General features: G+C 40.1%; 2 protein-coding genes and 1 long non-coding RNA gene across 26 annotated transcripts in view, besides 3 other annotated features; 1 reads left to right on the top strand and 2 right to left on the bottom strand.

Annotated features, from left to right (window-relative positions):
- The window catches only part of MFF (mitochondrial fission factor), a 32,586-nt gene extending 23,736 nt beyond the window's left edge, over window positions 1-8,850 (bottom strand). For 6 of the 21 annotated variants that reach the window (XM_011511500.2, XM_047445127.1, XM_047445131.1 and 3 more), the window contains exons 1-5: window positions 8,559-8,627; window positions 5,312-5,423; window positions 4,318-4,495; window positions 3,255-3,475; window positions 1,513-1,682 (exon numbers count right to left, since the gene is read on the bottom strand). In XM_011511500.2, coding sequence (XP_011509802.1) covers window positions 1,513-1,682; window positions 3,255-3,475; window positions 4,318-4,355 — 429 coding nt within the window. In that variant the 5' untranslated portion in view covers window positions 4,356-4,495; window positions 5,312-5,423; window positions 8,559-8,627. Of the gene's footprint in view, window positions 1-1,512; window positions 1,683-3,254; window positions 3,476-4,317; window positions 4,496-5,311; window positions 5,424-6,575; window positions 6,590-8,558 lie in introns of those variants that run through there. The other 15 variants (NM_001277063.2, NM_001277062.2, NM_001277064.2 and 12 more) reach the window with 11 other exon arrangements.
- Window positions 8,509-8,798: a silencer, noted in NCBI's record as "silent region_12398". NCBI's record gives its function as "represses an Ori minimal core promoter by ATAC-STARR-seq in GM12878 lymphoblastoid cells {active_cell/tissue: GM12878}" and the evidence as "EXISTENCE:reporter gene assay evidence [ECO:0000049][PMID:35858748]".
- The window catches only part of MFF-DT (MFF divergent transcript), a 104,113-nt gene continuing 85,569 nt past the window's right edge, over window positions 8,937-27,480 (top strand). Inside the window, exon 1 of the long non-coding RNA NR_102371.1 lies at window positions 8,937-8,983. This is a non-coding gene — a long non-coding RNA (MFF divergent transcript). The remainder of the gene's footprint in view (window positions 8,984-27,480) is intronic.
- Window positions 8,979-9,028: an enhancer, noted in NCBI's record as "active region_17198". NCBI's record gives its function as "activates an Ori minimal core promoter by ATAC-STARR-seq in GM12878 lymphoblastoid cells {active_cell/tissue: GM12878}" and the evidence as "EXISTENCE:reporter gene assay evidence [ECO:0000049][PMID:35858748]".
- Window positions 12,767-13,295: an enhancer, noted in NCBI's record as "H3K27ac-H3K4me1 hESC enhancer chr2:228185522-228186050 (GRCh37/hg19 assembly coordinates)". NCBI's record gives its function as "activates a minimal SCP1, AML or CMV promoter by ChIP-STARR-seq in naive H9 embryonic stem cells {active_cell/tissue: H9 hESC(naive)}" and the evidence as "EXISTENCE:reporter gene assay evidence [ECO:0000049][PMID:30033119]".
- Window positions 19,309-27,480, bottom strand: part of COL4A3 (collagen type IV alpha 3 chain) — a 150,169-nt gene continuing 141,997 nt past the window's right edge. For 2 of the 4 annotated variants that reach the window (NM_000091.5, XM_005246277.4), the window contains 5 exons: window positions 26,182-26,391; window positions 25,025-25,202; window positions 24,783-24,897; window positions 23,153-23,325; window positions 19,309-22,315 (listed from right to left, as the gene is read on the bottom strand). In NM_000091.5, the coding sequence (NP_000082.2) occupies window positions 22,231-22,315; window positions 23,153-23,325; window positions 24,783-24,897; window positions 25,025-25,202; window positions 26,182-26,391 (761 nt within the window). In that variant the 3' untranslated portion in view covers window positions 19,309-22,230. Of the gene's footprint in view, window positions 22,316-23,152; window positions 23,326-24,782; window positions 24,898-25,024; window positions 25,203-26,181; window positions 26,392-27,480 lie in introns of those variants that run through there. The other 2 variants (XM_011510555.2, XM_047443224.1) reach the window with 2 other exon arrangements.

Below are 27,480 nucleotides of genomic sequence, written 5' to 3'. Positions count from 1 at the left end.
TGGTTAGTAAATGGCAAAGTAGGTCTTCAAAATTAGTTCTAATTCTCACACAAACTTTTTTACCCCAGTGTTATACACTCTGAACATCTATCACATTTGACTAAATATCACAATTAATGCAGGAATGAACCCCGTAGAGTCTTAAAGCCTGGGTCTACTGAGGGAAATCCCGGCAAACTTTCTTCACTCACTCTTAAAATAATCAATCAGGGAATTGCTTGGGTTGCTTTCAATTAGGAGAAGCAGAAAGACCAACAGAAAAACCCGAAGAATACAATAAGGAGCATTTCTTTCCTGGCAAAATCGTCACTGTAAGACAATTATTTTCACAGGTATAATTCCCAAGGAACTTTGGGGAGTTAGAAAGCTGGGCCTTAAACTGGGAGCACACTGGATACTTTTGTTTTATGTAACCATCTTGGTAACTTTCATTATTTTCTGCTATTAAAGAATTTTGTATCTTCTGCATGCGTTGATGTCTTTCCCTCACTCATATCATTGTCCTGCTGAAACCAGACAGACAGCAAACTTTTTGAATGCAGGAACTATGTCTCATTAATTCCTATACTGCATATAGTATCTCAGAGATAAAAGTTAAAAAATGTTTGTTAAATAATACAATTCTGCAAGTATGTTAGTGCCTTTCTGTCATGTAAAGGCTCAGATTTAGTGCTTTTCACCAAATACCTAGAATATCCAAACTAACTGTGAGCATATTACCTCAATTATGTCAGCAGAAACTTACAATCTAAGAACCTAATCCTAGAAAATTGCATTGCCCTAGACAGTATGGGTGCTTTACCCTCTTTGGAAAGTATTACATGCAAAATGAAACCAGACACAAGCAGTACCATTATTAATAAAAACATATGTTTGCACATTGTCTCATACTAGCTTCATGACAACATGTTAGAAGTTCAAAAGCTATATGAAAAAGATGTAACCCCAGCAATCATCACGGCAAAGCAGCTTCAAAGGTTAGCTGTAAGTCAATGACAAAGGCAGGATTCGAACTCTGTTACTAACACCTTGTTAGTCTACACTGCTACATTTAGGTCAACTGGCACATTAACGTGATGCAGTAGAGTAGCTCAGTAGAAACTTTTAATCAAGTAGCGAGAATGGGTAGTGTCAAGCGAAAAAGGGTTTTCTTTGCCCTGTTTGCTAGACTGATTTTATAACAAAGTGATACATTTACTTCTTATTGCTAAACTTCCCAACATTTTCTTATTATTTAACAAGTAACACCTACCCATAAAGGCTCTTTCTTCAAACCACAGGAACTTAATAATACTTACCACAAAACTTACATTTTTCCTAAAACATAATATTCAAATTTTAAAAATAGCATAATAACTTATTTGGCACATTTGTAAATTAGAATTATTAGTAATGTTCCATATGGAAAGCTTTCATGACATATTGCTAAAGATATGATAAAGCCTCTTTGCTCTTCTCTTTTACCTTTGTCTACATTATTTCAAATTCCGGTGATACTAAAGTTCTACTTACTTCTTCATTTTGAGGGGTTGTAGGAGGTCTTTCTAAATCCAGAAAATCTAGTGGTCTTTCACTCAGCGTAAGTACACGAGGTGGTGTTTTCAGTGCCAGGGGTTTAAAGGGAGTTGACTGAATAAGGTCAAGATCTGCTGGTCTTGAAAATGAAACATCTTCATTATTTCCTAGGAGTTTTCAAGAAAAGAGACAAAGAAGAGAAAAGCGGGAGGTTTTTTAAAAAGACAGTGATTTTTGTTAAAATGTATTTACCTTCTTCTGCTTTTGAATTATACCACCCAATAAGCATTAGTTTCTTTCAAAATATGCTTCCAGGCCGGGCGCGGTGGCTCACGCCTGTAATCCCAGCACTTTGGGAGGCCGAGGCGGGCGGATCACGAGGTCAAGAGATCGAGACCATCCCGGCTAAAACGGTGAAACCCCGTCTCTACTAAAAATACAAAAAAATTAGCCGGGCGTAGTGGCGGGCGCCTGTAGTCCCAGCTACTTGGGAGGCTGAGGCAGGAGAATGGCGTGAACCCGGGAGGCGGAGCTTGCAGTGAGCCGAGATCCCGCCACTGCACTCCAGCCTGGGCGACAGAGCGAGACTCCGTCTCAAAAAAAAAAAAAAAAAAAAAAAAAAAAAATGCTTCCAGCGTATTGACATTTCACTAATATTTATCACTGTCATACAGAAATAAGAAATTATGCAATGTACAATATATAACCAAAAAACTGATATCTAGAATATTTAAAACTCTTACAACAGCCAATTTTTTAAACTGACACAACATTTGAATAGATACTTCACAACAAATATATATAAATGGACAAAAAGCACATGAGCAGATGTTCAAAATTATTAATAATCAGGGAAATAGAATTAACATCGCAAGATGGCACTACACGCCCACTCAAACAGCTAAAATTAAAAAGACTGACAATACAAAATGTTGGCAAGGATGTGGAGCAACTGTAACTTATTCATCACTGATGGAATGCAACATAGTACAAGAATTTGGAAAACAGTTTAGCAGTTTTTCAAAGTTGAAAATAACTTGTATATAATCCAGCAATTTCACTCCTAAAGATATGAAACCATATGTCCTCACAAAGACTTGAACCTGAATATTCACAGTGGCTTTAATCCTAACAGCTTCAAACAAAAAGCAATCAACGAATGAAGATGAAGGAAAAACAAATTATGGTGTATCCAAACTGAAATATTACCCAGCAATAAAACTGAATGAACAACTGATATATGCAACAACAGAAGAATCTCAAAAACATTACACTGAACAAAAGAAGACAGATAAGAGTATATACTCTATGATTCCATTTACATGAAACTCTAGGAAAGACAAATCTATTCTCTGGCTATAGAAAGGAGATCATGGTTGCCTAGAGTTGAGGGGTAGGGACTGAGTGAGAAAGAGGCACAAAGGAACCTTGCAGAGTAACAAAAATGGTCTCTATTTGGACTGTGGTGGTGGTTATATGGGTGTTCACTTTTGTCAAAACTCATCAAGTACACACTTAAAAATGTATACATTTTATGTGTGTAAAACCTCAATAATTAGTTGAATTACTAAAAAATACTGTTTGCAATTCAGACTATAATAATGAATAGAAATTTCAAAAGTATAAAGTTGCATTTTCCAACTCCTTTTCTAAATAACATTTAGAAAAACTCAAAAGTTTTCATAGAAACATATAAAACAAAGATTTAACAGGCAACCTTCTAAGTAAAGGTGAAATACCTGCTACAACAATCCTCTCCGGAACTTGCATTATCACACTAGCATTTGGAACTCCTTCTTGGAATCCTTGTTCCAGGTCAGCGTTTGGCGGTGCTACTTTTAACTTTTCTGGGACCCTCATTCGCTGACTAATGCCTTCAGTATATTCCATTTCGTACTGAATTCGACTAATTTCTGCCATCTCAGCAGCAGTGGGAGAAGGAAATGCTGCCCTGCTCACCCTGTGGGAGAAAAATTTAAAGACAGGGCTGACTGTTAAAATGTCAGTCTCCTCTACGCAGTGAAGTTAGAAGACAATACCTTATAGAAAGAGCGAAAGGAAACTTCTCATTTGCAAGTACTGAACACATACAAAGCAAAAATAAAAGATGAAAGAAAATGTCTTCCTCAACAAAATGCCTTCTTAATTATCAGCTGAAATTGTACCTTGAGGATATTGCTTAGGAGCAAATTTTTTAAATTATTATAGAATTACAACACAAATGTGTACACACACATACACACATACTCTCTGCGTAAACATGCATGCTGCTTGTAACTAAAAAAATGCCTGCAATAAAATTTAAACTTAAAATTTCCTCATCAATTTGAGGGAAAGCTGCTTGGACTTTAAAAATATAAAATTAAAAATTACTGTCATGCATGAAAAAATAAAACCTTTAAATGACAAATGCATCTGTTATTCAAAACCTTTAAATGACAGATGCATAACATTAACTCTGAATTTACTAAAAAAGAAGATGCAACTCCCTGAAAATCACATCATACAAACTAAAACTTCTCCTAATGACTGAGATGCAATGAATACCAAATTTAGAATTTGTAATAATAAATCCTCATGTTTGTATTCATTTTTGGAGGGACTGAAAGTTTTACACTATTAATCTGTATTTAATATCATATTTACATGTGTTTTTTTTTTTAATGCAGTAGAAAGAATGTTGCCGCCAATACAAAAGCTGATAAAAATGTAAAAGAGCATGGTTAGCCTACGGCAGTAAGCTTTAAAGCCATTGTCTCTCAAACCTATAATACCAGCTCAACTGAATAAAATTTCACTGACCTTCCTAGTGATGTGTCACTGCTTGTTCCTTTACTCATTTAAATACAGTAAATACAGGTCTATAATAGCTATTAAAATACTGCTACCCTGCAGTTCAGTTTACTTTACACAACAATTCCCCTACACATTTGAACTTTTTTTGGAGGTGTACATAACAACACGGACACTGCTTTTCCAGCTGTAAAAAAGAAAGAATAAAAATCAGTATTTCAACAATTCATTTCATAAGAAAACTATGAATAAAAGTAAATATCTACGTAAAATGACTTTTGGATTTGAACATGGCTTAGGGCTTGATTTGAGAAACCAATTGTTAAATCTATCCTAAGAAGAGTTTTTCTATACCTCAAAAATCATAAAGACAGTTGTAAGCACAGTCACTGTCTTATGATTTTGCAAACAGGATACAGAGAAGCTGTATCAAATGTATATACAAATGTGAAGTCAGATTCGAAGAAAACAATACTGCCATAAAACTCCTCTAATCATTATACTCCAAAGGGGAAAAATCCTTTTTTAAGACTAAGCCCAAATGAATAAATCATGAAGGGAATACAAAGGGTAAAAAGTAAATGTAACTGAGGCAGCCTACATATTTGACGTCTAATGGTTTCTTTAAATAAAAATAAACTTCAAAATTTAGGGTAAACTTCAAATGGAAATTACACTAAATTTTCAGCAAAGACACTATATATAAATTAAAGACATAAAAAGTTAAAGACAGTATACATGACTTTACCATGGCTAAGGTATTTCCTAAACTCCATGCTGGAGATATAGCCCCACCCTAAGCCCCCGCCTCACTGAGATGCCTAGGAGAGCTCTTAGAGGTTGCTCAGGACGCTCAGCCCCAGCAACTGGTTTGACTATGACTGCTAACTCACATCTTTTATTCTTTATCAAAAAATCTCTGGGGACATAGATCTTTAAGGATTTGGCATGCAGACGATTTAAAGACTAAGAAAGTAAGCCAAAAGGGACCATTTTTACTCACAAATGTGTAACAACTACTGCTTGCTATTTGGCACTATCTGCTTCTGTGCTTCATATTAAATCCTTTAACTTGCTTCAATGTGCATGTGCTGGATTGAGAGCCACTTTTGTCCCTGGGGAAGAAAAACAGGGGCTAATTGAGAAACTAGATGAAACCACTATTAGGGATTCATTACTGGAAATTCTCCAAATAGTAACAGTCACAAAGATGCACAACCTGACATCAAGAGACCAGTAAGAAAATAAAGAAAGAAAAAAATTAAGCTTACCACCAATCTTAGTTCCACAGATGGGGTCCTACAACTATTCATTAGTTAAGGCAATATAAAAGACTAGCTCTGTCATTGTTTCTGATTTGTATTTAGAAAAATGTGGCAGATGAAAAATACGTAAGTTTAAATGAATCTAATACTTACGTATATATATGCATATAGGTACACATATATGTTAAAGAAGAACAAATGAATTGGTTTTTTTTTTTTTTTTTTTTTTTTTGTCACCCGGGCTAGATTGCAATGGAGCTTCCTGAATAGCTGGGACTACAGGCATATGCCACCACACCCAGCTAATTTTTGTATTTTTTGTTGAGACAGGGTCTTATTATGTTGTTCAGGCTGATCTCAAACTCCTAGGCTCAAGAAATCCTCTGGCCTTCGTCTCCTAAAGTGCTGGGACTACAGGTGTGAGCCACCGTGCCCGGCCTGTTTAAATTTTCATTCACTTACGATGTTAAAATTTTGAACTAGTAATGCATGTACTCGGTACAAAGTACGCAAGCTATACAGAGAAAAGGAAGTGTCCCACTTTCAATCCTATCCTTAACCACCCAGGTTCCCACAGGCAACCTTTATAATCAATTTTTGTGCATCATTCCAGATGAGATGCTCTTCTAATACTTGCGTGTATCTCAAGCATAGCAAAAGCTCATATTCAGAACTAACACTGAAAAAAGCTACCTCAAAAAGATTATAGCCTTTGGCCATTATAAATTGAAGTTTTATAATAATAAACGAGAACCAAGTGGCTAGAACCTCAGTATCTCCTTGAAATGTGCTTTCTCTGCATTCCATTCATTGCATTTCAGTCTTACGAACTTTCTAGTAGTACATCTCATAGGTCTCACTACTATATTCCATTCTATAGCAACATCTTTTCTTACGAGAATATCTGAGTTTGTAAAAAACTAGTGACTTAGAAAATAAAGGTGGATGCTGAAATGCCAACTTCTGGAAAAAGCCAAGTTCTCCTGTAGCTGAACTACTTACATTTAAAAAGTAACTGGATTTCTACTAAGATTTAACACTGTATTATCCCAATTATTGGGTTTTCTGCTTAAAACCAATCAAAATCTGATTTTTTTTCTCCCTCGTTAGACTGTGGCATTTCTGATAATATCTTTTGGCAATAAATAAACGTCTCATTTGGTGTTGATATGTTAATTCCAGAAGTTTTGTACCTTAGAATCCAGTAGGCAACCAGTACGTGATTCTGTTACATAACAAACGAGGCAAAATCTCTCTTAGAATCACAGATGATTTCATATTTCTACTTTCTAAGCCCAGTGGTTCCCAAACACCAGTAACTAACTTGCCAACTTCATGGGTTTTTTTTTTCCCATATTCACAGAGTACATTAACTTTTTGCTACAGTTAATTTTTTTAACTCGACTTTTTAAAATCAAAAAAGTATTGTAAAAGAAAATTTTGTATCACTACCTTAAACCATGGCTGTACATATATAAATACAGATTGCAAAAACATCCTATTACAAAAAAATCCTCATCCACGTACCGCCTAGAGTCAAGTCACATGCCACTAGCGGAAAGTGTACCAATTTTGGGACACAATGATTCCAGCCCAACTTTCTCATTTTCTGTATTAGAACACTGGAACCCAGAAAGCCTCGGAAGTCACCGAAACAACTTGAGTCAAACTGACTGTGGTTGCAAATGTTTATGTACTTTTCAAAAACAAACATACAAACAAACAAAAACAAACCAAAAAAAACCCTCCAGTTGTTTATTACCTACTGCGTGGACCTAGTTCACACAGATGGGCCACTCTGCACACCCTGTTTCAGTTCTTTTTCAAAGAAACTATATTTAAAAAGTCACTGCAAACTTTTAAAACTATATATTAATGAACTTTAAAATAAGGTTATGAACCCACAGAAAAGTTTCAATACCAGAAGAGAGGAGAGCGAAGACTAAACTTTGCAATTCTGAAAGGAGGCAGCTCTATCAGACAGGAAGGGAGAGAACACAATTTCCTTTTGGAAAAAATGGCAAAACCAATATACAAGCCTTTGAAACCAAAAGATAGAAGGTCCCCCAAGCAATTTAATTGCATGGGAAAAGACTACTAAGTATAACTAAATCGTCCTAATTTTCCTAAGGGTTTTTCTTTTGGGCTCTCATTAGCCAACGGAATTGAGGCAGAAAAAATGTTTTTCACGCAGGGAGACAAAACATTTGTGATCATCTTAAGTCTCTCGGTGGATGAGAGGCCTGAATACAAATGGTTCTATATTTGGGCAGAAGGGCCAGAAACCTTTTTTTTTTTTTTCCCCTTTAATGTTCTCCAATGAAAACATGTCACTTTTGAAAGGGTGCTCTTCCCTCGAGAATGCCCTTTGCTTCTAACTTTGTGGGAGGTAGACAGGGGTGTTCTTTTACGATAGTAATAGTAGCACACGTCCTGCAGAGGAAGGTCAGAAGCTCGGCGGAACAGGAACCGCAGCTTTCCTCCGGCTTCCCAGCTCCTGGAAGGAAACCCGAGAGCAACTGCCTGCAGCCACATCTGCGAGCAGGGATGCTCACAGACGGACAGGGTGGCCCGCAGCCACCCGCGATGCCACAACCTGGGCTTCCAACAAGGCCCTTCTTTTCCAAAATGTACTTGCCACAAAACAACACAAAAACCTCCTTTTAAACAAGGCAGGTTTAAGGTCAGCCTGTAAGGTGTCAGGGCCTTGGCAGGGAAGGATGAGTGAAGACCTGCAAAGCCCGGCGTTCACGCTCACGGGACTCCCGCTGCTTCCCAAACCCCTATTTTCCAGTCGGAAAAGTCCGGGTTAATACACAAAAGGAGACGCCGAACCACACAAGGTGAAGAGGTTCGCCCAAAAACACCTGCAGAAGACGCTCCTCTCCCTCGCTCTCCTCGGGGACTCAAGGTCCCGGGGAGGAGGAAAGACCAGGGTTGAAGGCAAGAGGCCCGGGGACGGGACTCGGGTCAGGGAGACACTACCGGGGGGGCCGGGGCCACCGCGGGTCCCTGTTGGCCGGAGGGTCTCGGCGGCGGCGATAGGCCTGGCAGCCAGCTCGGGCGGCAGGTCGCGGGTCGGGAAGACGTCAACACTCACCCCTGGGCCCACAGGAGGGTCCCGGCGAGGACCCCCGCCCTCTGGCTCCCGGGGCGCTCGAGTGGGCGCTCTCAGAGGTGGTTGGCTGAGAGCACGGAGGCGCCCAGGGACAGCACCGGCGGAGCGGCCCGCAGAGGGCCAGGGCAGAAGCGCGAAAGGCGCGGGCTGGCCCCTTCTGGGAGCCGTAGCGGAAGAGTGTTCGTGGTCATGTGACGCGGAAAAGGGCGGACGCGTGGCCCACGCACTGGAACGGCTCCACGGTAAGCGATGCGCAGACATCTTTGTTGTGGGCGAAACGAGGTGACCGCAGGTGACTCCTCTTGCGGTTAAGTTTAATTCACACTTCGGCTTTATTAGATTTTGTAATCTTTAAGAACTTGGTGTTTGCAAGGTAAACCTTTGGTAGCCAATTAAAACAACTTTTTCAGGACCATCTGGCATGAAAATTTCTATGCTGTGAGGCTTAGGAATTCTCATATGTAAATCAGCTCCGCCAGTGATTCCATGAGTTCCAATTTGATACTTCTTAAGCCCTCGGTTGATCAGACCTTGTCTTCCATGAGAATTCCGGGAGAGGGGAAGTTAAGTTTCACAGTAGTTGGCGGCATCGTTTAGCTTTGGGAGAGCACTCTCTGCTTCTGAACACCCAACCACAGACTCTTCCCCCCAGGAAGCCCTTGCTTAGAGCGGGGGAAAAATGGTACAGTGCTTGTCAGTATGGGAATGTACTGAGGCCAAATAATGTGATATTTTATATGCCTTGGTTTTCACAAACACCTAAAGGTGTACACATGACTTATGTACTCCCCTACGATCTAATTGATATTCTAGAGATGTTACCATTCTTCAAAATGATTTGGGAAGCCCTCTGAATTGCGTTCTTGGGCTTCTTAACACTGGTGTAGGGAAAGTGAAAATATTTCCTCTCCCCTCTTGGGGTCTTGGCTGGGCCTAAGAATTAAACTGATGAGGAAAAGAGTCAAACTCTAAAATATTTGAAGAGATTTATTCTGAGCCAAATGTGAGTGACCATGGCCCGTGACAGAGCCCTCAGGAGGTCCTGAGAACATGTGTCCAAGGTGGTTGGGGCGCAGCTTGGTTTTATGTATTTTAGGGAGGCATGAGACATCAATCAAATAAATTTAAGAACTACATTGGTTTGGTTCAGAAAGGTGGGACAACTCAAAGCAGGGGCTTCCAAGGCTGTAGGTAAATTTAAACATTTTCTGGTTGACAGTTGAAGACCTGGGACCCATAGAAAGGAAATGTTGAGGTTAAAATAAAAGATTGTGGAGACCAAGGTTCTTTTGAAGTCTTATAGTGGCTGCCCTTAGAGACAATGGATGACAAATGTTTCCTATTCAGATCTTTAAAAGGTGCTAGATTCTTACGTAATCTCTTTAGGATTGGGAGGACCTGGAAGAAAATGATCTAGCTATGTTAATAGAAATTCTATGTAGATGCAGATTTTCCCCCAACAAAGGACAGCTTTGCAGAGCCGTTTCAAGATATGTCAAAAACTAAAAAAAATGTTTTGCGGTAAAATATTTTGATTTTGTTTCTTGTCTCGTTATGCCAGTGTCAGATTGGAAAGTAAGTCACAATATATAGGGTTAAATAAAACCCATCTGATGAGAATTTATGGATTGTAGGGCATGAATCCCTAGGCCCCTTAGATAGGAATTTGAGCAAGATTAAAAAAAAAATCAGAGCTTAGTCTCCACTGACGTAAAATAGAGACATAAAACATAACAGGAGGAAAGCATACAAATTTTATTTAGTAATTTTTACATTTACATTGGAGCCTTCCCTAGAAAAATGGAGACCCAAATTAACAGTTGGACCCTAAGTGCTTTTGAGTCTCCATTTTTCTAGGGAAGGCTAAAAAGAGTAGTAAATTGTGAAAATGTGAGAAAACAAACAGATTTGGGTTAGTGCAGTTAATGCAGAAGTGACTAAGAAGATAAAGGTTGTTGTAACAAAGTGGAAATGAAAATCGGTAAGTTTGTGCAGATACAGCTCAGCTTTGACTCCATGTCTCTGGTGTTGAGAACATCTCCCTTCCTCCTTATACAGGGAGGGCACCTTTCATACGGAAGTTTTATCTCCTGCTTTCAGGAAGGAAAAAGGAAAGCCACAGTGCTCTTTTTGCATTTTTTTTTTAAGTGCCTTTGACTCGAAAATAATCTTTATGCCAAAGTGCCATATTTTGGGTTGGCATATCCTACTATTGACAGAGCAGAAGCACTGCCATTTTAAAGTGCCCCTTGATCAAAAACCACCTAAATCCAACCCAGAGGGCATCAGCCTAATGGCTGTCAGCATGACCACAAACCACAAATGACACCTCCGACCAGAAACATTCTAACTCTAAGATAAACCCCTCTCCCACCAGACACATGCCAGCCCCAAGATAACCTTCCCTCTGACCGAGCGATGTCAGCCCCAAGATAACCTTCCCTCTGACCGGAGCGATGTCAGCCCCAAGATAACCCCTCCCCTCCAACCAGAGACATTCCAACCCTGTAATAAACTTCTCCTCCAAGCAGAAATATTCCAAGCCTGTGATAAGCTCTCTCACCCTAAACCCTTAAATACTCTTAGTCTGTAAGAGAGAGTGCTCCTGACCAAAATTGGCCAGAAGCCCCTCTCAGGTTTATTCTCTAAAATAAACCTATCCTTGATTGTTGAGCCACTTTTTGTGTTTCTCTCTTCTTTCTTTAACTCTTAACAACTACCCTACAGAGACAAATAAGCCTTTAAGAATAGATTGATTTTTAGGAATAATAAGTCATTCCAAGTCAATCTTTTGTGGGAAGATAGAGATCAAGTTGGGAGATCATGCATTAGGTTGGTTCTGAGGACTAAGCTCTGATTTTTTTATCTTGCTCAAATTCCTATCTAAGGGGTTTGGGGAGTCATGTTCTCCAAACCATAAATGCACATCAGATGGGTTTTATTTAACCGTGTATATCATGACTTACTTTCCAATCTGACTCTGGCATAATAAGGAAGAAAATAAAAATATTTTACCCAAAAATATCTTTCCTTGCCCTACCTTGAAATTGTCCTGCAAAGTCTCTTATGGGAAAAATCCACATTCTGTAGAGAATCTGCTTTCCCCTTTGTTTTCCTTCCTTCTGTGTCCGGAATTGGTGGGTTCTTGGTCTCGCCGACTTCAAGAATGAAGCTGCGAATACTTGCGGTGAGTCTTACAGTTCTTAAAGATGGTGTGTCATGTGTCCGGAGTTTGTTTCTTCAGATGTTCAGATGTGTCCGGAGTTTCTTCCTTCTGGTGGGCTCATGGTCTTGCTGGCTTCAGGAGTGGAGCTGCAGACCTTTGCGGTGACTGTTACAGCTCTTAAAGGCAGCACATCTGGAGTTGTTCATTCCTCCTGTCCAGAGTTATTTGTCCCTCCTGGTGGGTTTGTGGTCTTGCTGGCTTCAGGAGTGAAGCTGCAGACCTTCGCGGTGAGTGTTACAGCTCATAAAGGCAGCGTGGACCCAAAGAGTGAGCAGCAGCAAGATTTATTGCAAAGAGCAAAAGAACAAAGCTTCTACAACATGAAAGGGGACCCCAGCAGGTTGCTGCTGCTGGCCCAGTCAGCCTGCTTTTATTCCTTTATCTGGCCCCCACCCACATCCTGCTGATTGGTCCATTTTACAGAGAGCTGATTGGTCCATTTTACAGAAAGCTGATTGGTCCATTTTGACAGGGTGCTGATTGGTGCATTTACAATCCCTGAGCTAGACACAGAGTGCTGATTGGTGCATTTACAATCCTCCAGCTAGACATAAAAGTTCTCCAAGTCCCCACCAGATTACTAGACACAGAGCACTGATTGTTGCGTTTACAAACATTTAGCTAGACAGAGAGTGCTGATTGATGCATTTACAATCCTCTAGCTAGACATAAAAGTTCTCCAAGTCCCCACTAGATTAGCTAGACACAGAGCACTGATTGGTATGTTTACAAACCTTTAGCTAGAGACAGAGTGCTGATTGATGCATCTACAATCGTCTAGCTAGACATAAAAGTTCTCCAAGTCCCCACTGGATTAGCTAGACACAGAGCACTGATTGGTGCGTTTACAAACCTTTAGCTACACACAGAGCACTGATTGGTGTGTTTACAAACCTTGAGCTAGACACAGAGTGCTGATTGGTGCATTTACAATCCTCTAGCTAGACGTAAAAGTTCTCCAAGTCCCCACCAGATTAGCTAGATACAGAGTGCTGATTGGTGCATCCACAAACCCCGACCTAGACACAGAGTGCTGATTGGTGCATATACAATCTTCCAGCTAGACATAAAAGTTCTCCAAGACCCCACCTGACTCTAGAGTCCAGTTGGCTTTGCCTAGTGGATCCTGTGCTGGGGCTGTGGGCAGAGCTGCCCTCCAGTCCCGTGCTGCGCACATGCACACCTCAGCTCTTGTGCGGTCGATGGGACCAGGCGCCGTGGAGCAGGGGGCGGTGCCCATCAGGGAGGCTCAGGCTGTGAGGGAGCCCATGGTGGGGGTGGCTCGGGCATGGTGAGCTGCAGGTCCTGAGCCCTGCCCCGTGGGGAGGTGGCTGAGGCCCGGTGAGAATCCAAGCGTGGCGCAGGTGGGCTGGTAGTGCTGGGGGACCCGGCGCACCCTCTGCAGCTGCTGGCCTGAGTGCTAAGCCCCTCACTGCCTGGGGCCAGCGGTGCTGGCCGGCCACTTTGAGCGTGGGGCCTGCCAAGCCCGCACCCACACGGAACGCGTGCTGGCCTGCGAGCACTGCACACAGCCCTGGTTCCTGCCTGCGCCTCTCCCCCCACACCTCCCTGCAAGCTGAGAGAGCCGGCTCTGGCCTCGACCAGCCCAAAGAGGGGCTCCCACAGTGCAGCGGCAGGCTGAAGGGCTCTTCAAGCATGGCCTGAGCGGACGCCGAGGCCGAGGAGGAGCTGAGAGTGAGCGAGGGCTGCTAACACGTTGTCACCTCTCACTTCCTTTCCAGATCTAGGAGATAATCAGCTAAGAGCCAGGCACCCATTTAGTTCCGATAAGAAACAAAATTTTACAACCTACTGTCTCTCTAAAGTCCTGCTGAGAGCTTCCTCTGCACAATAAAACTGGGTCTCCACAGTCCTTTATCTTAACCTGAACAGTTCCTTTCTGTGGGTCCCAGGTCTTCAGATAAACTCAACCAATTGTCAACCAGAAAATGTTTAAATTTACCTATAGCCCAGAAGCCCCTACTTTGAATTGTCCCGCCTTTCTGAACCAAACCAGTATATTTCTTAAATGTATTTGATTGATGTCTCATGCCTCCTTAAAATATGTAAAGCCAAGCTGCTCCCCGACCACCTTGGGCACATGTTCTCAGGACCTCCTGAAGGCTGTGTCACGGGCCATGGTCACTCATATTTGGCTCAGAATAAATCTCTAAAAATATTTTATGGAGTTTGACTTTTTTCATCAACAGTGCAAAGGTAATTGCAGTTTGCCATTACTGTCAATGGGAAAAACCACAATTACTTTTGCACCAATCTATAATCGTAACCTTTAAAACCTTTAGAAATGATGTTCCTCCTGCTTCACTAACCTTTCCACTTCTTAATTACTTACAATTTGGCTTTTAATCCTGTACTCCCCTCAAAGAAAAACATTTTGAAATAACTTTCAAATAAAGATTGTGATCCAATTACCAAACACGATGTCTTCTTCCATAAACCTCATTGTCCTTTATCTTCCTGCATCATTTGTTTTTTGTTAAATTAAATGAGACAGTGTGTCTCAAAGTACCTAACACTGTCTAGTAGACGATTCTCAGAGCAAAGGCATTTTCTCTTCCTTATGTGGGAACTCTACTCCCTCATTTTGTGTAATATATATTTATATTTAGTATATTCATTGTAATATATATTTCTTTTTGCAACATTAATGTGGAGATTCCTGTCTTATGATTTAATCCATCATTGACTATTTTTGCAACCATGGTTGCCTCAAATCTTTTGTTGGAAAGGGTGATATATAAATCTAAGTTATCTCATCCATCTAGTCTTACCCTGTTGCACTGGTTCTAGCCAGTTCTACTTAAGTGTCCCATTGGAGCTTTGATCCCAGCAGGGTTTCCAACTCAGATTTTTTCCACTCTTCTCGCTCCAGATACCATCTTCTGAATTCCTTTTTTTCAGTTAATGGCCAAGTTATCTCCCCAGTCATCAGGGTTCAAAGTACCAAAGTTATCTTTCACTGTCACCCAAGTCCCATGTGATGGTCAAATTTAGGTGTCAACTTGACTGTATTAAAGGGTACCCGGATAGTTGGTAAAGCTTTATTTCTGGGTATGCCTGTGAGGGTGTTGCTGGAAGAGACTGACATTTTAATCAGGGGGTTGAGTAAGGAAGATCTGCCCTTACCAATGTGGGCAGGCACCATCCAATCAGCTGAGGGCCCGTGTAGAACGAAAAGGCAGAGGCAAGACAAATTTGCTCTTTCTCTTCTGGAGCTGGGACACTTCTCTTGCCCTTGAACATGAGATATCCAGATTCTCCAGTCTTTGAACTCTAGGACTTGCACAAGTGGTGCCCACCTTCTCAGGCCTTCAAATTTGAACTCAGCCATGCTACCAGTTTTCCTGGTTCTCCAGCTTGTGGATAACATATTGTGGGAAGTTTCAGCCTCCTCAATTGCATAAGCTAGTATCCCTTCTCATAGATCTATCTATCTTTCTTTCCACACATACCTTTTTTTTTTCGAGACAGAGTTTCACTTTTGTCACCCAGGCTGGAGTGCAACAGAGTGATCGCCTCTGCCTCGTGGGTTCAAGCAATTCTCCTGCCTCAGCCTCCTGAGTAGCTGGGATTACAGGCACCCACCACCACACCCAGCTAATTTTGTGTGTGTGTGTGTGTATGTGTGTGTGTGTGTGTATTTTTAATAGAGATGGGGTTTCGCCATGTTGGCCAGCCTGGTCTTGGACTCCTGACCTCAGGTGATCCACCCGCATTGGCCTCCCAAAGTGCTGGGATCACAGGCGTGAGCCACCACACCCGGCCACACCATCCTTTCTTTTTTTTTTTTTTAATTCAACTTTTATTTTAGATTCAAGGGGTAAATGTGCAGGTTTGTTACATGGGTATATTGTGTGATGCTGAGGTTTAGGGTATGAATGTTCTTGTCACTCAGATAGTGAGCATAGGACCCACTAGGTAGTTTCTCAGCACTTGCCCCCATCCCTCTCGCCCACGTCTAGTAGTTCCTAGTGTCTGTTGTTGCCATCTTTATGTCCATGTGTACCCAATGCTTAGCTCCCACTTCTAAGTGAGAACATGTGGTGTTTGGTTTTCTGCATTTGTGTTAATTCACTTAGGATAATGGTCCACCTGCATCAATGTTGCTGCAAAGGACATCATTTCTTCCTTTTTTATGGCTGTGTAGTATTCCATGGTGTGTATGTACCACAGTTTCTTTAATCCACCATTGATGGGCACTTTGGTTGATTCCCTTTCTTTGCTATTGTGAATAGTGCTGTGATGAACATATGTCTTCTTGGTAAAATGGTTTATTTTCCCTAGTATCCTTCATCCTTTAGATTGTCCCTCTTCAATGCCAGCTTTCTGCTTTATCCATTCTTTTCCTACTCCTAGATGATCACCCATCATCTGGGCTGTTATCCTTTTAACTGGCCTCCTCATCCCTAGTATTTTTATTTCTCCAATTCCTAGACATTGGGTCTACGTAGAACCGATGTTTATAAATTGTGGCATCTCAAATATGAAGCCCCAGTTTCAAAGAAAATTGATGATTTATAGTTATCTTCCAATTCAAAAGTTCATAACTGCAATCCAGTAATTTTTTTAAAATTTTGAAACTATGAAATAGCCTAGCAAGTACCATATATTAAATATTGGATCTTCCAGGTTATTGGTTATATGGTAATTCCACTCTTTTGCTCACAATCTTCACTGAATCTCTAGTAGCAATCAATGAAGTACAAGTTCAACCTGGTATTCTAAACCCTGCCCAACATGGTCTTAACCTCCTGCCATGCTTCTTTATTTACCACTCTGTATGTATATAAATATATATCATATATTCTTGGCCATTAATTGTTCCCTGAGATTGCCTCATCTTTTCCTAACTACTTAGCTTCATCCATGCTATTTCTGCCACGTGGAATGCCACCCTGCTTCTGACCATCTTCTGCTTCTTGAAATCCTAACTGCCCTTAAAGGACCACTGAAAATATCCCCTCTTTTTATGAATTCTTTCCTGAGGCCTCCAACTTTTGAACCAGTATTTGTTGTCCCTTAGAGCACTTAATCATGTTCTGTCTAGTATTAAAGTTATCCATGTATTTGTCTTATTTTCCCCTACCAGATTGTAAACTCTATGCTTGAGACCAAGGTCTGTGTCTCACTCATCTAAGTATATGCTGTGGAGCCAAACATATTGTAGGTCTACAACAAGCCAAGCATGTTGTAGGTCTTGGATATAAAATAATGAGACCTAGCTCCTTGTTTGGCTCAAAAATTGGAATTGAAGATATTATAATTCCAAAGCAATCATTCTAAAAAGGTTTTGAGCAGTCAGTATTTTTAGAAAAAGCATGGAGTCTGCAAAATCCTAGGAAGGATCATATTTATCTAAATATTTAAGTTTAGCCTGGTTGTTAAAAACCAATTACATTTTCCTCTGTGTTTGCTTATCTGTTAATTTCTAATAGGTAGAGCTGGGATTAGGGTGAGATGAGTTAGATGCCAATGGCACAAACTGAAGGAGGCAATCACTTTTTTGTCAGTCTCCTGCCAATAGATTACTAAGAATCCATTAGGGCTTAATCAAAATTTTTCTTTCCAAACGAGCTTATAAATAGAGAATGTGCTCAAACACAGCATTCATTCTTTGACTTACTCGAAGTAAAAGTAAGTTCATTGAAAGGGATTAGTACTTTTTTACTCAAAGTCTTTTCAAATTAGATTTTTTTTGGCCCACCTATGACAATAGGTGACAGTGTTTCTGAAGTATTTATGCGAGCAACAATTTTCTTGGTCTTCTTAGAATTATTACCTCGGATCACTATTCATTCCATTTCTTCCCTTGATTATATCATTATTGCCATTTAATGCAGCCTGAAAGTTCCTTCTCTATGATATTTCATATTTTGCATGTATATGTATTTTAAGACAGAGTCTCTGTTGCCCAGGCTGGAGTGCAGTGGCGCGACCTTGGCTCACTGCAGCCTTTGCCTCCCGGGTTCAAGCGATTCCTCTGCCTCAGCCTCCCAAGTAGCTGGGATTACAGTGTCTGCCACCATGCCCAGCTAATTTTTGTATTTTTAGTAGAGATGGGGTTTCACCATATTGGCCAGGCTGGTCTTGAACTCATGACCTCAAGTGACCCATTCACCTAGGCCTCCCAAAGTGCTGGGATTACAGCCACAAGCCACCATGCCCAGCCTATATTTTGCATCTTAAAAACCTTTTTCTTTACCAACTCTCCACATCTGAAATTTTATGAATTGTTTTCCTTGAATAAGGAGTATTTGTATTATAAATGGGAAACATGTATCAAAATATATGACCCATAATTTCTGTAATCTATATGCTTTTTTTACTGATTTGTAAAGACTCCTTTAATACCTCAATAGAAAAATAAGCAAAGATATGATTAGGCCCTTCACAGGAAAACAGGCAGTCATCAAAATACTTCTTTGATTAAAAAAAAAACACTAATTAAAAGTGACAAATATTCTGCCTCACTGCAATGAGATAGGCAAAGATGTAAAATAACAGCAATAGTCTGTATTGGTAAATTAATAGGGAAATGAGTGTTTTCATTACATGGTTGACGCAGCTGAAAATTCTAGCAACCTTTCTGGAGAGCATTTTTGTATATAAAAAGATTATGTGAGACCTTTGACTCTATAGTGTTCCTTCTAGAGATTTATCTTGAAGAAATAATTGGACAAACTTGTGGTGACATAGGTACAATATGTCTATAATATAACTAAATTAAATGTCTGTCAATTGGGGATTTATTATCTTAGGTTATAAACCCATGCAATGAACTGTGGTGCAAATGATGATTAATTCTTGTCTGTTGGTGTGAAAATGTGCCCACTATGTATTAAGTTTTTAAAAACCTGGTGACAAAAAAGGCCGGGTGTGGTGGCTCACGCCTGTAATCCCAGCACTTTGGGAGGCCGAGGCGGGTGGATCACAAGGTCAGGAGATTGAGACCATCCTGGCTAACACAGTGAAACCCCGTCTCTACTGAAAATACAAAAAGTTAGCGAGGCATGGTGGTGGGCGCCTGTAGTCCCAGCTACTTGGGAGGCTGAGGCAGGAGAATGGCGTGAACCCGGGAAGCAGAGGTTGCAGTGAGCCAAGATCATGCCACTGCACTCCAGCCTGGGCGACAAAGTGAGACTCTGTCTCAAAAAAAAAAAAAAATCCTGGTGACAAAATAGCATACTTTTATCTCATTTTTGTTTAAAAATAGATTTATCACTTATCTTGGATGGGAGTGAGGATTAGATCATGGCCATTTTTATATTCTTCTTCATAACTTCTGTATTGTCTATTCTTTTTACAGTGAACATCTGTTATTCTTACAATCCAAAAAAAATTTATTTCCATTTTGAAAAAAAAGGACCAGCTCCAATTTAACAAATGTTTATTCTTAGGCAATATAATAAAATAATATTTTAGATATAATTACAGAAATATTAGTACATTAAAATATTATAATCTTGTCAGGATATAACAATATAAAATATTCAATATATTTTAAATATATTTCATTTGGTTATAGAGTAAATATTAAATTAAGTTTAGTCGCAGTAAGTTACATTTGATACATAGAGAATCTTTGTAAGTTAGCCATCAAGTTCAAATGTAAGCATTTTAATACTTTCATAAATAAGTTACTTAATAATGTTTATCTTGCTGAAAGACTTCTGAGAAATCTGTTATTTTAGCACGCTGTGAAATTCCAAAGTTGAAGCCCCAATTTTAAAGAAACAGTTTACATTTTATCTGTAATATTAAATCTTCATAATTGTATAAGCTACTCATAAGCTAAGTTATCTGGAAAATAATGCACATGAGCTATAATTTACTGCTAAGTAAAGTCTTAGAAGTGCAACTGAACAGCTGTTCATATGGCTTCATTGGAATTTCAGGTTTTAGCATCACTTGTCTTCCTCAGAAGTTAAATACTGGTAAGAGGGCATGAGAAGATGGAGGCCTGAGTGGAGGCCAGTGGTTTGACATTAGCACCAGTCTAGGGCTTTTACTTATGAGTAAAAGTAGATAACCTTAGAGTCACCTGTGAGTTTGAACTTTAAAAAGAGGCACGGATGGAGCAGTTGTAGCCAGCCGTACTTGGTAACTGCCTGCGGAGTTGTTGCTTGGGTATTTGTCTAGAACAGGTTTTCTCAGTATTTAGAGTACATCAGAATCATGTGGTGGGCTTGGTAAAACATAGATATTTCGGGCCCTCCCCCAAGAGTTTCTGATTGTGTAGGTCTGGAGTGGTCCCTAGAATCTGCATCTGTGACAAGTTCCCAGATGATGCTGATACTGCTCTTCCAGAGACCACACTTTGAGAACTACTGGCCTACAGAGGGTTTGTAGAGATTAGCTAGCTCTATATGCCGCTATAGTACACTTGGGACAATAAGACATTTTTAAAGCAGAAAAATTTGTTTGTTAAGTGAATCTAAATAAGTGAAATGCTGCACATCTTAGTTTAGATGTAAAAATGGCTTGACAGCAAACACGTGAGCAGTGAAGGATGTAAACCATGTGAGCCATGGCCATAGTCTGTGCTGTCCTCTGGGTCATGTTTTTCACTTACAAAGCAATTGAGATTGAAGCAGTAGCCTGAATTTAAATATCAGCACCACCAACTCCACCTAGGTAGATCAAAAAGCATCTTCAAAGCTTTGTCTCTTTGTGTCTGGACTCTAAGACTCATCAAATAGTGTTATCATCAAGTATAACACTAGTTTAATGTTTTGTAGATGTTGGTTTTTCTGCTATTATTCAGACCTTATCTTCTCTTAGCTTTTCTAAGAGAAACTAGAAGCCCTGAGTTTCCCTAGGCATAGACCTTATTTTTAACCTTTACTTGGGCCTGCTGAATTATCATGATGAAATATAACAGCAGTGAAAAGGAAGAAAAAACTAGAGGGGAGGGAAGCTACTTGTATATGTGAGATTATTAACAGAGCAATGAGTTACTTTTTCTGGGATATTAGATCAGAAACAAGTCTTTTTTTTCTCTTAGCATCTCTGTAGGTTAGTACAGTGCCTGGGACATGCTTGGTGCTGAATAAGATGATAGTTAAGTTGAATTAAGTAACCTTGGGAATGTATCAACACATTGAAAAGCAGGTTTTAAGACATACAGCGGCCAAGTTATACAGTTTGATACATTAAGATTTTTAAACAATGGACTCTTTCAGTATGGTTTGTAAGAACAACATATAACATAAAAAGTGTTGCTTTTTTTTTTTTTTACAAAGGAAGAATTAGAGAAGTAACAAAGGAATAAATCTGTAAAACCTAGAGTGATGACATATTCAGAGCAATGAGAAAATAGATTCCGAGTCTGATAAACCAACAAATGCCTTAAGTTCTTTCATGGATTATTGAACTGCTCCCTTACATAAGGTATGCACCGACATTTATGGAATGAGGATAAAGTGCACATTTCATAAGTAGTATTCTTGTTATTTGTGTGGGTATGCTGGTAAAACAGAAGTTAAAGTTATACATATTTCATAGTATGTATATAACAATATCATTTTAAAACTAATTCACTAAGGGGGAAAATTTTATATGCTTGGAATACAAGCAGATTTTAGAGCTACAGTGAAATGAATTCAATAAACAAACAAAAATCTTTAAAAACCAACAAAACAAAACAAAACCATACAGTATTTCCAAGGGTATTATGGTTCCATCAGGGAATCCCCCTTTTGCCGTTAGTAATGGGCATGTTTGAAACAGTCCTGGAAAATCCATGAACCTCAGTTCAGTTCTGTGTTCCATCAGGCCTTACGGTCCTCAGCAGGTCTGAAAATCCAGTTCTATACACAATGCTCCAGGATACCACATGCCCCCTTCTCTTCCCCTACCCAGGGTCTGAAGTTTCAGGAAGGGTTGGCGGGGCAATCAAACACTGATTTAGCCTCCCTGAGTCTTAAAGACAGAAAGAAGACAAATGTGGGAATCCAGCGGGCCAAATATTTCATAACTTGCAGCATTCAAACTTCATACAATCACCGTAGTGACAGTGCCTTGGATGTAAGTGGAATAGGTTTTTGGTGATATTTTGTGAATAGTTGCTGCTTTGCCACAGAGAACTTTGAAACAGCACAGATTAGAGACCCAGATCACAGAACTGACTTGAAAGAATTGCTTTGTTTTGTGGGGAAACAAATTGAAACTTTGTACTAAGTCATCATGGAGCAATATTGTTTGGTTAAAGAAAAATACCTAAATAACAGCATGTTCTGTCATTACTTTGTTCTTTAGGATGAAAAATAGCAGTTCTGCTGTCTTTTTTAGCTTCAGTGTCTTTTCTTCATGCACACCTGACAGCGACTTATTATTTTTTCTAATTCCCCAGCTTTCACAGTTGATGGAATAGGCTTTCTGAAATAAAAACAAACCAAAAAAATTCATTTATTTATGCATAAAAGGGAATTTTTGCTGAGTTTGTTTTATTAATGAATATTTTTGCTATTTTGAAATTTATTACAGGGTCGGGCGTGGTGGCTCACGCCTGTAATCCCAGCAATTTGGGAGGCTGAGGTGGGAGGATAAATTGAGGTCAGGAGTTTCAGACCAGCGGCCAACATGGTGAAACCCAATCTCTACTAAAAATACAAAAATGAGATGGGTGTCGTGGCATACGCCTGTAATCCCAGCTACTCGGGAGGCTGAGGCAGGAGAATCACTTAAACCTGGGAAGTGGAGGTTCTAGTGAGCCCAGGTCGCGCCACTGCACTCCAGCCTGGGCAACAGAGCGAGACTCCATCTCAAGAAAAAAAAAAAAAAGGAGAGAAATTTATTATATTAATGGACTATTTCTCTTTATGGAAGAAGTATATTTCTGAAAAGGTATATATGGTGGCATTTTATAATTTTAGTCATATTTCAGCAGCATTAAAGAAACATAGGCCTTGATGAAAACTTATAGATCATCTTTTTGGTAATAAAAACTACTCCCACCCTTTAAATTATCCACATTATTCACAAGTCTTTCAATACAGTAAATTCAGATGAGAGATCGTTTTGTGATTGTATCAAGTAATTTACTATAAATTCATATACAAATATTAAATGTGTTTAGTGATGACAAAACCCATATTTTGTCTTTATTGGCACAGTAGTACAAAATCATGGCTACTCGTTGACCCAAGAACACAGGCAACCTTTGAATAGTTCTGCAATTGAGTCATCAGATTAAGCTTGATGGTGAATAGTTACCTGAACATTCTTTCTGGGTTTAATGAAGCCAGCCAGAAACTGTAGGAATTTGAATAGTAGTTGCACGTTCCTCTTCCATGACATTCTAGAAATGGGCTGGCTCGGAATTCTTCCAGGCAGGAGCCAGGGGAGGCCAGTGCTTGCCCGGTGCCCTCAGAACCTGCACTTGTGAACTACCACAATTTTAAAAATCTGAATAAACACTCTGTCCATTGGGGTTCAAATTTTCAATTCTCTACTTTTTTTTTTGAATGAATGGGCAACTGTGAGTAAAGAAAGGGGAGGAATGATCATGAGCGATGCTACAGATTAGAAATAACCACCTATGTGGCCAGGCGCAGTGACTCACACCTGTAATCCCAGCTCGCTCTTTGGGAGGCCTAGGTGGGCAGATCACTTGAGGTCAGGAGTTTGAGGCCAGCCTGGCCAACATAGTGAAATCATGTCTGTACTAAAAATACAAAAAGTAGCCGGCATGGTGGCATGTGCCTGTAGTCCAAGCTACTCAGGAGGCTGAGGCAAGAGAATTGCTTGAACCCTGGAGGCAGAGATTGCAGTGAGCCAGAAGGCAGAGATTGTAGTGAGCCAGGAGGTGGAGATTGCAGTGAGCCAAGATTGCACCACTGCACTCCAGCCTGGGCGACAGAGGGAGATTCTGTCTCAAGAGACAAAGAAAAAGAAAAAAGAAAGAACCACCTGCGTGCAGCTATGACAGTCATCACAGTCACACATGGCCAATCCATAAACTTCTTCACTAGCATTTACATCTGAAAGCTTTTTCTTTAAAAGACTATTTTTCTTTGCTTTTATCTCCATATGAATGTCAAAAGGGGCACAGATTTTGGAGCAGATAGACCTGGGTTCAGATCCTAGCTTTTCCACTAAATAGTTGTAAGACCCTGGGGAAAGTACTTCATTCTTATTTGTAAAACTGTAAATGATAGAAATTACCTATGAGCGTTTTCATAAAAATTACAGAGAATGTATGTAAAGCAGTTATCTTATAAAAAATAGGCATTCCAGGCTGGGTGCAGTGACTCATGCCTGTAATCCCAGCACTTTGGGAGGCTGAGTTGGGCAGATCACTGGAGGTCAGGAGTTTGAGACCAGCCTGGGCAATATGGTGAAACCCAGTCTCTACTAAAAAAACAAAACAAACAAAAAACCAAAAATACAAAAATTAGCTGGGCATGGTAGCACAGACCTGCAATCTCAGCTACTCAGCAGGCCGAGGCAGGAGAATCACTTGAACCTGGGAGGCGGAGGTTGCAGTGAGCCAAAATCACTCCACTGCACTCCAGCCTGGGTGACAGAGCGAGAATCTGTCTCAAAAGATAAAAAAAATAATAAAAAGAGACATTCCATTATCAATAAAACGCAGCTACTATTCACCTAAATTTCATAATAGAATTTGTAGGTAATCTCCTCCTGAGAAGTCTTTTTTAGTACTCCATTATTTACCAAAAGTAAAAAAAAAAAGTCTGTTTGTAGATTTTCAAGGAAATGTCTATGGCATGTTGCACACACGGACAGCAGGCAGCATCGACCCTGGGAATCACATTTTACCCAGCACAATGTAACATTCTACAGGTAGTCTTTACCCTAAACCTCCTGTTCCTTTTCTCCTCACCATGATGAATGAAAATCCTTTCCAGAGAGAAATCCAGCCGTGAGGACATGGAGGAATGTCAGTGGTTTGGCTGTGAACGGCTATGGCGATCGCAGGACCTTCACAAACAGTGCATCTGTAACATGAAACAAAGACTATGGCGGCATTGCCACTTTCTGCACTGTCATGTGCTGCCTTTCATTCCATTACAAGGGAAGTGATTCACTTGGTCCCATTGTAAAACTAGGGGATTGGATTTTTACCTGCTTATATAAGGCTCAAGGGCTCTGCCAGTAATGGGAGCCATGTTCATTGGCATCAGAGCTGGTGTTGACAGCCAGTATGAATAATCATTTCGAGATGCAAAATTACATACATCATTGACATTGCAGAATAAGAATGGCATTGTGGTAAATCGCTGCAGGCAGCTGCCAAGAGTTCCTAATGAAACATCAGACTGAGTATCACTTTCAGTAAGTTAAAGTTATTTTCAGCATCGTTACTAGAGAGAAGCTAATTTAAATGTAACCTGCAGCAAAAGCTGGACAAAGACAACACAAAAGAGTTATCTGCAAAATGTAGTATTGAAAAGTTTTCATACTGATAGAAATCAAAGATCCAATAGGCAAACAAATCTTCTTTCTCCCACCTTTAATACTTCCGGTGGCTCTTTCTAATCGATTTAGAACATGGGGGCTAGCATAGATCAGTTGGGATAGTGTTTTTGCTTCAAAGTATTCCCACTTATTCATATGTACATAATAGCTAATAACCAAATAAAGGTTTAGAAAAGCAGTTATTTGTGAGATTGAAAAGCAAATGGGTGGGCTGGGCATGGTGGCTCACGCCTGTAATCCCAGCACTTTGGGAGGCTGAGGAGGGAGGATTGCTTGAGTTCAAGAGTTTGAGAGAAACCTTGACAGCATAGCCAGACCTCATCTCTACTGAAAATCAAAAAAATTAGCTTGGTATAGTGGTGTGTGCCTGTAGTCCCAGCCATTTGGGAGTCTGAGGTGGGAGGATGGCTTGAGCCTAGGATGTGGAGGCTGCAGTGAGCCATGATTGCACCACTGCACTCCAGCCTGGGTGATGAAAGTGAGACCCTGTGTGAAAAAGAAAAAAGAAAAAGAAAAAGCACCAAAAAGATAAATGCAGACAGGTGGTTTAGGGAGTTTTAGGGGCAAATTGTTTGCACTGAATGGGAGGAGCTAGGCTAGCATTCCTGAGCTAGGCTCCTTCCACCATTTTACATTCCAGAATGAAAATTAGACAGGCCAGTGTTTTATTTGCTCTCTTTAAAATGTATCAGGAGACACTCAAGGTTATTTACACTTAACTTCAGAGGGAAGCATCCTAGGCTATAAAGATTTACAATCTGCATGTGGAACAGCACAACTGGCAACTGGGACTGGGACATTACCAAGGTCTTGTCCGTGGGCTCGTTGATTTCCTTGTACAAAAAGAAAAGAAAACCCACTGTAGAGTGGCACTGTCCCCTCTGGACATGAAGGAATTGCTGTGGTTTGACTGTGTCGGGTGAAGACAAAGCCTCTCGTTGTCCAGGTTGCAGGTGATCCACTGTCTCCACGTTTTCCTTTCAAACCTGGCAATCCATCTGATCCAGCTGGTCCTTCAAAAAACACATTCTAAATGTTGCAACATACACAAAAATCTTAAACTCGTTTTTTCAAAGTACTAATTTAAATATATTTTATATATGTTGAGCCCATAAATTGAAAGCAATCCTAGAGAAGAGTGGCTTATAAAAATGGCCAAACAGTATTATTAAATGTTAAGCAGTTTATCACACAGTGCCTCTTCTTATCAATGTTTGTGTATATTTGATGCGTTTTTTGAGATCAGGTCTTTATCTTTGAATTCCTCTGTGAGGCCTGGCACAGTGGCCTGCCTGCATCTGGTAGGTCTTATGTATGTTTTTTATGAATAAATGAATGAATCCTCCTACAATGTGATGGGGGAAAAATCAAATATCTACAACTTAGTCTATTCGAGTAGATAACAAAAATTACTTATGGTTTTGATAAATTCACAAATTATTGCAACATTGTCTACAATAAACAATTGCAGAAAACATTGAAAGCTCTTTTTAAAGGTTCAAACTTCAAGGAAGTTTTGATCAATTTGTAAGTCAAGTAAGAAGAGAAGGCTTTTTTTTTCACTGTAATAAGGGTTAGTTTATTTATATGAGTTAAAAACAAAGTAAATCGTTTCTGTACATTTTTCTCTCTGTGGAGAAAAACTTTCTATACTTTGGAGTATGGATTTGGACAAGGCTAATCCACACTTGTCGTGTTCTAGATGAGAACCAGTGAGCTATCCTCTCTTCCATTCCTCTTTAACTTCCTTCTCCTTTCTTTCATTGAACGGCTATTATTTATGGTATTGGCATTGGCTACCACTTCCTCACTCCCATCCATTTCTGCTGCCACTGTACGCTGACTCCCTCCCCAACCAGACTTGGGCCATGGTTCTCTAGGGTCCTAAGGAATCACAGAGAAAACAGCGATGGTTAGACTTTGGGCCTACATCATCACAGGAATTAGTTTTGTTGCCCCTGGGACATCCGTGCCCCTGGGAGTCAGGCAGGGTCACAGTTTAGTCCTGACTCGGAAGTCAGGACTTTCCTCAGAAATTTGTAAAAGCCCCAATATTATGCATTTTTTCAATTTTCTCTGAATTCTGCCCACTCTTGTCTCCT

This window comes from Homo sapiens, chromosome 2 (assembly GCF_000001405.40).
Source record: "Homo sapiens chromosome 2, GRCh38.p14 Primary Assembly".
NCBI lineage: Eukaryota > Metazoa > Chordata > Mammalia > Primates > Hominidae > Homo > Homo sapiens.
Note: the sequence above shows the minus strand (reverse complement) of the source record. Positions and strands in the feature narration are given on the sequence as shown.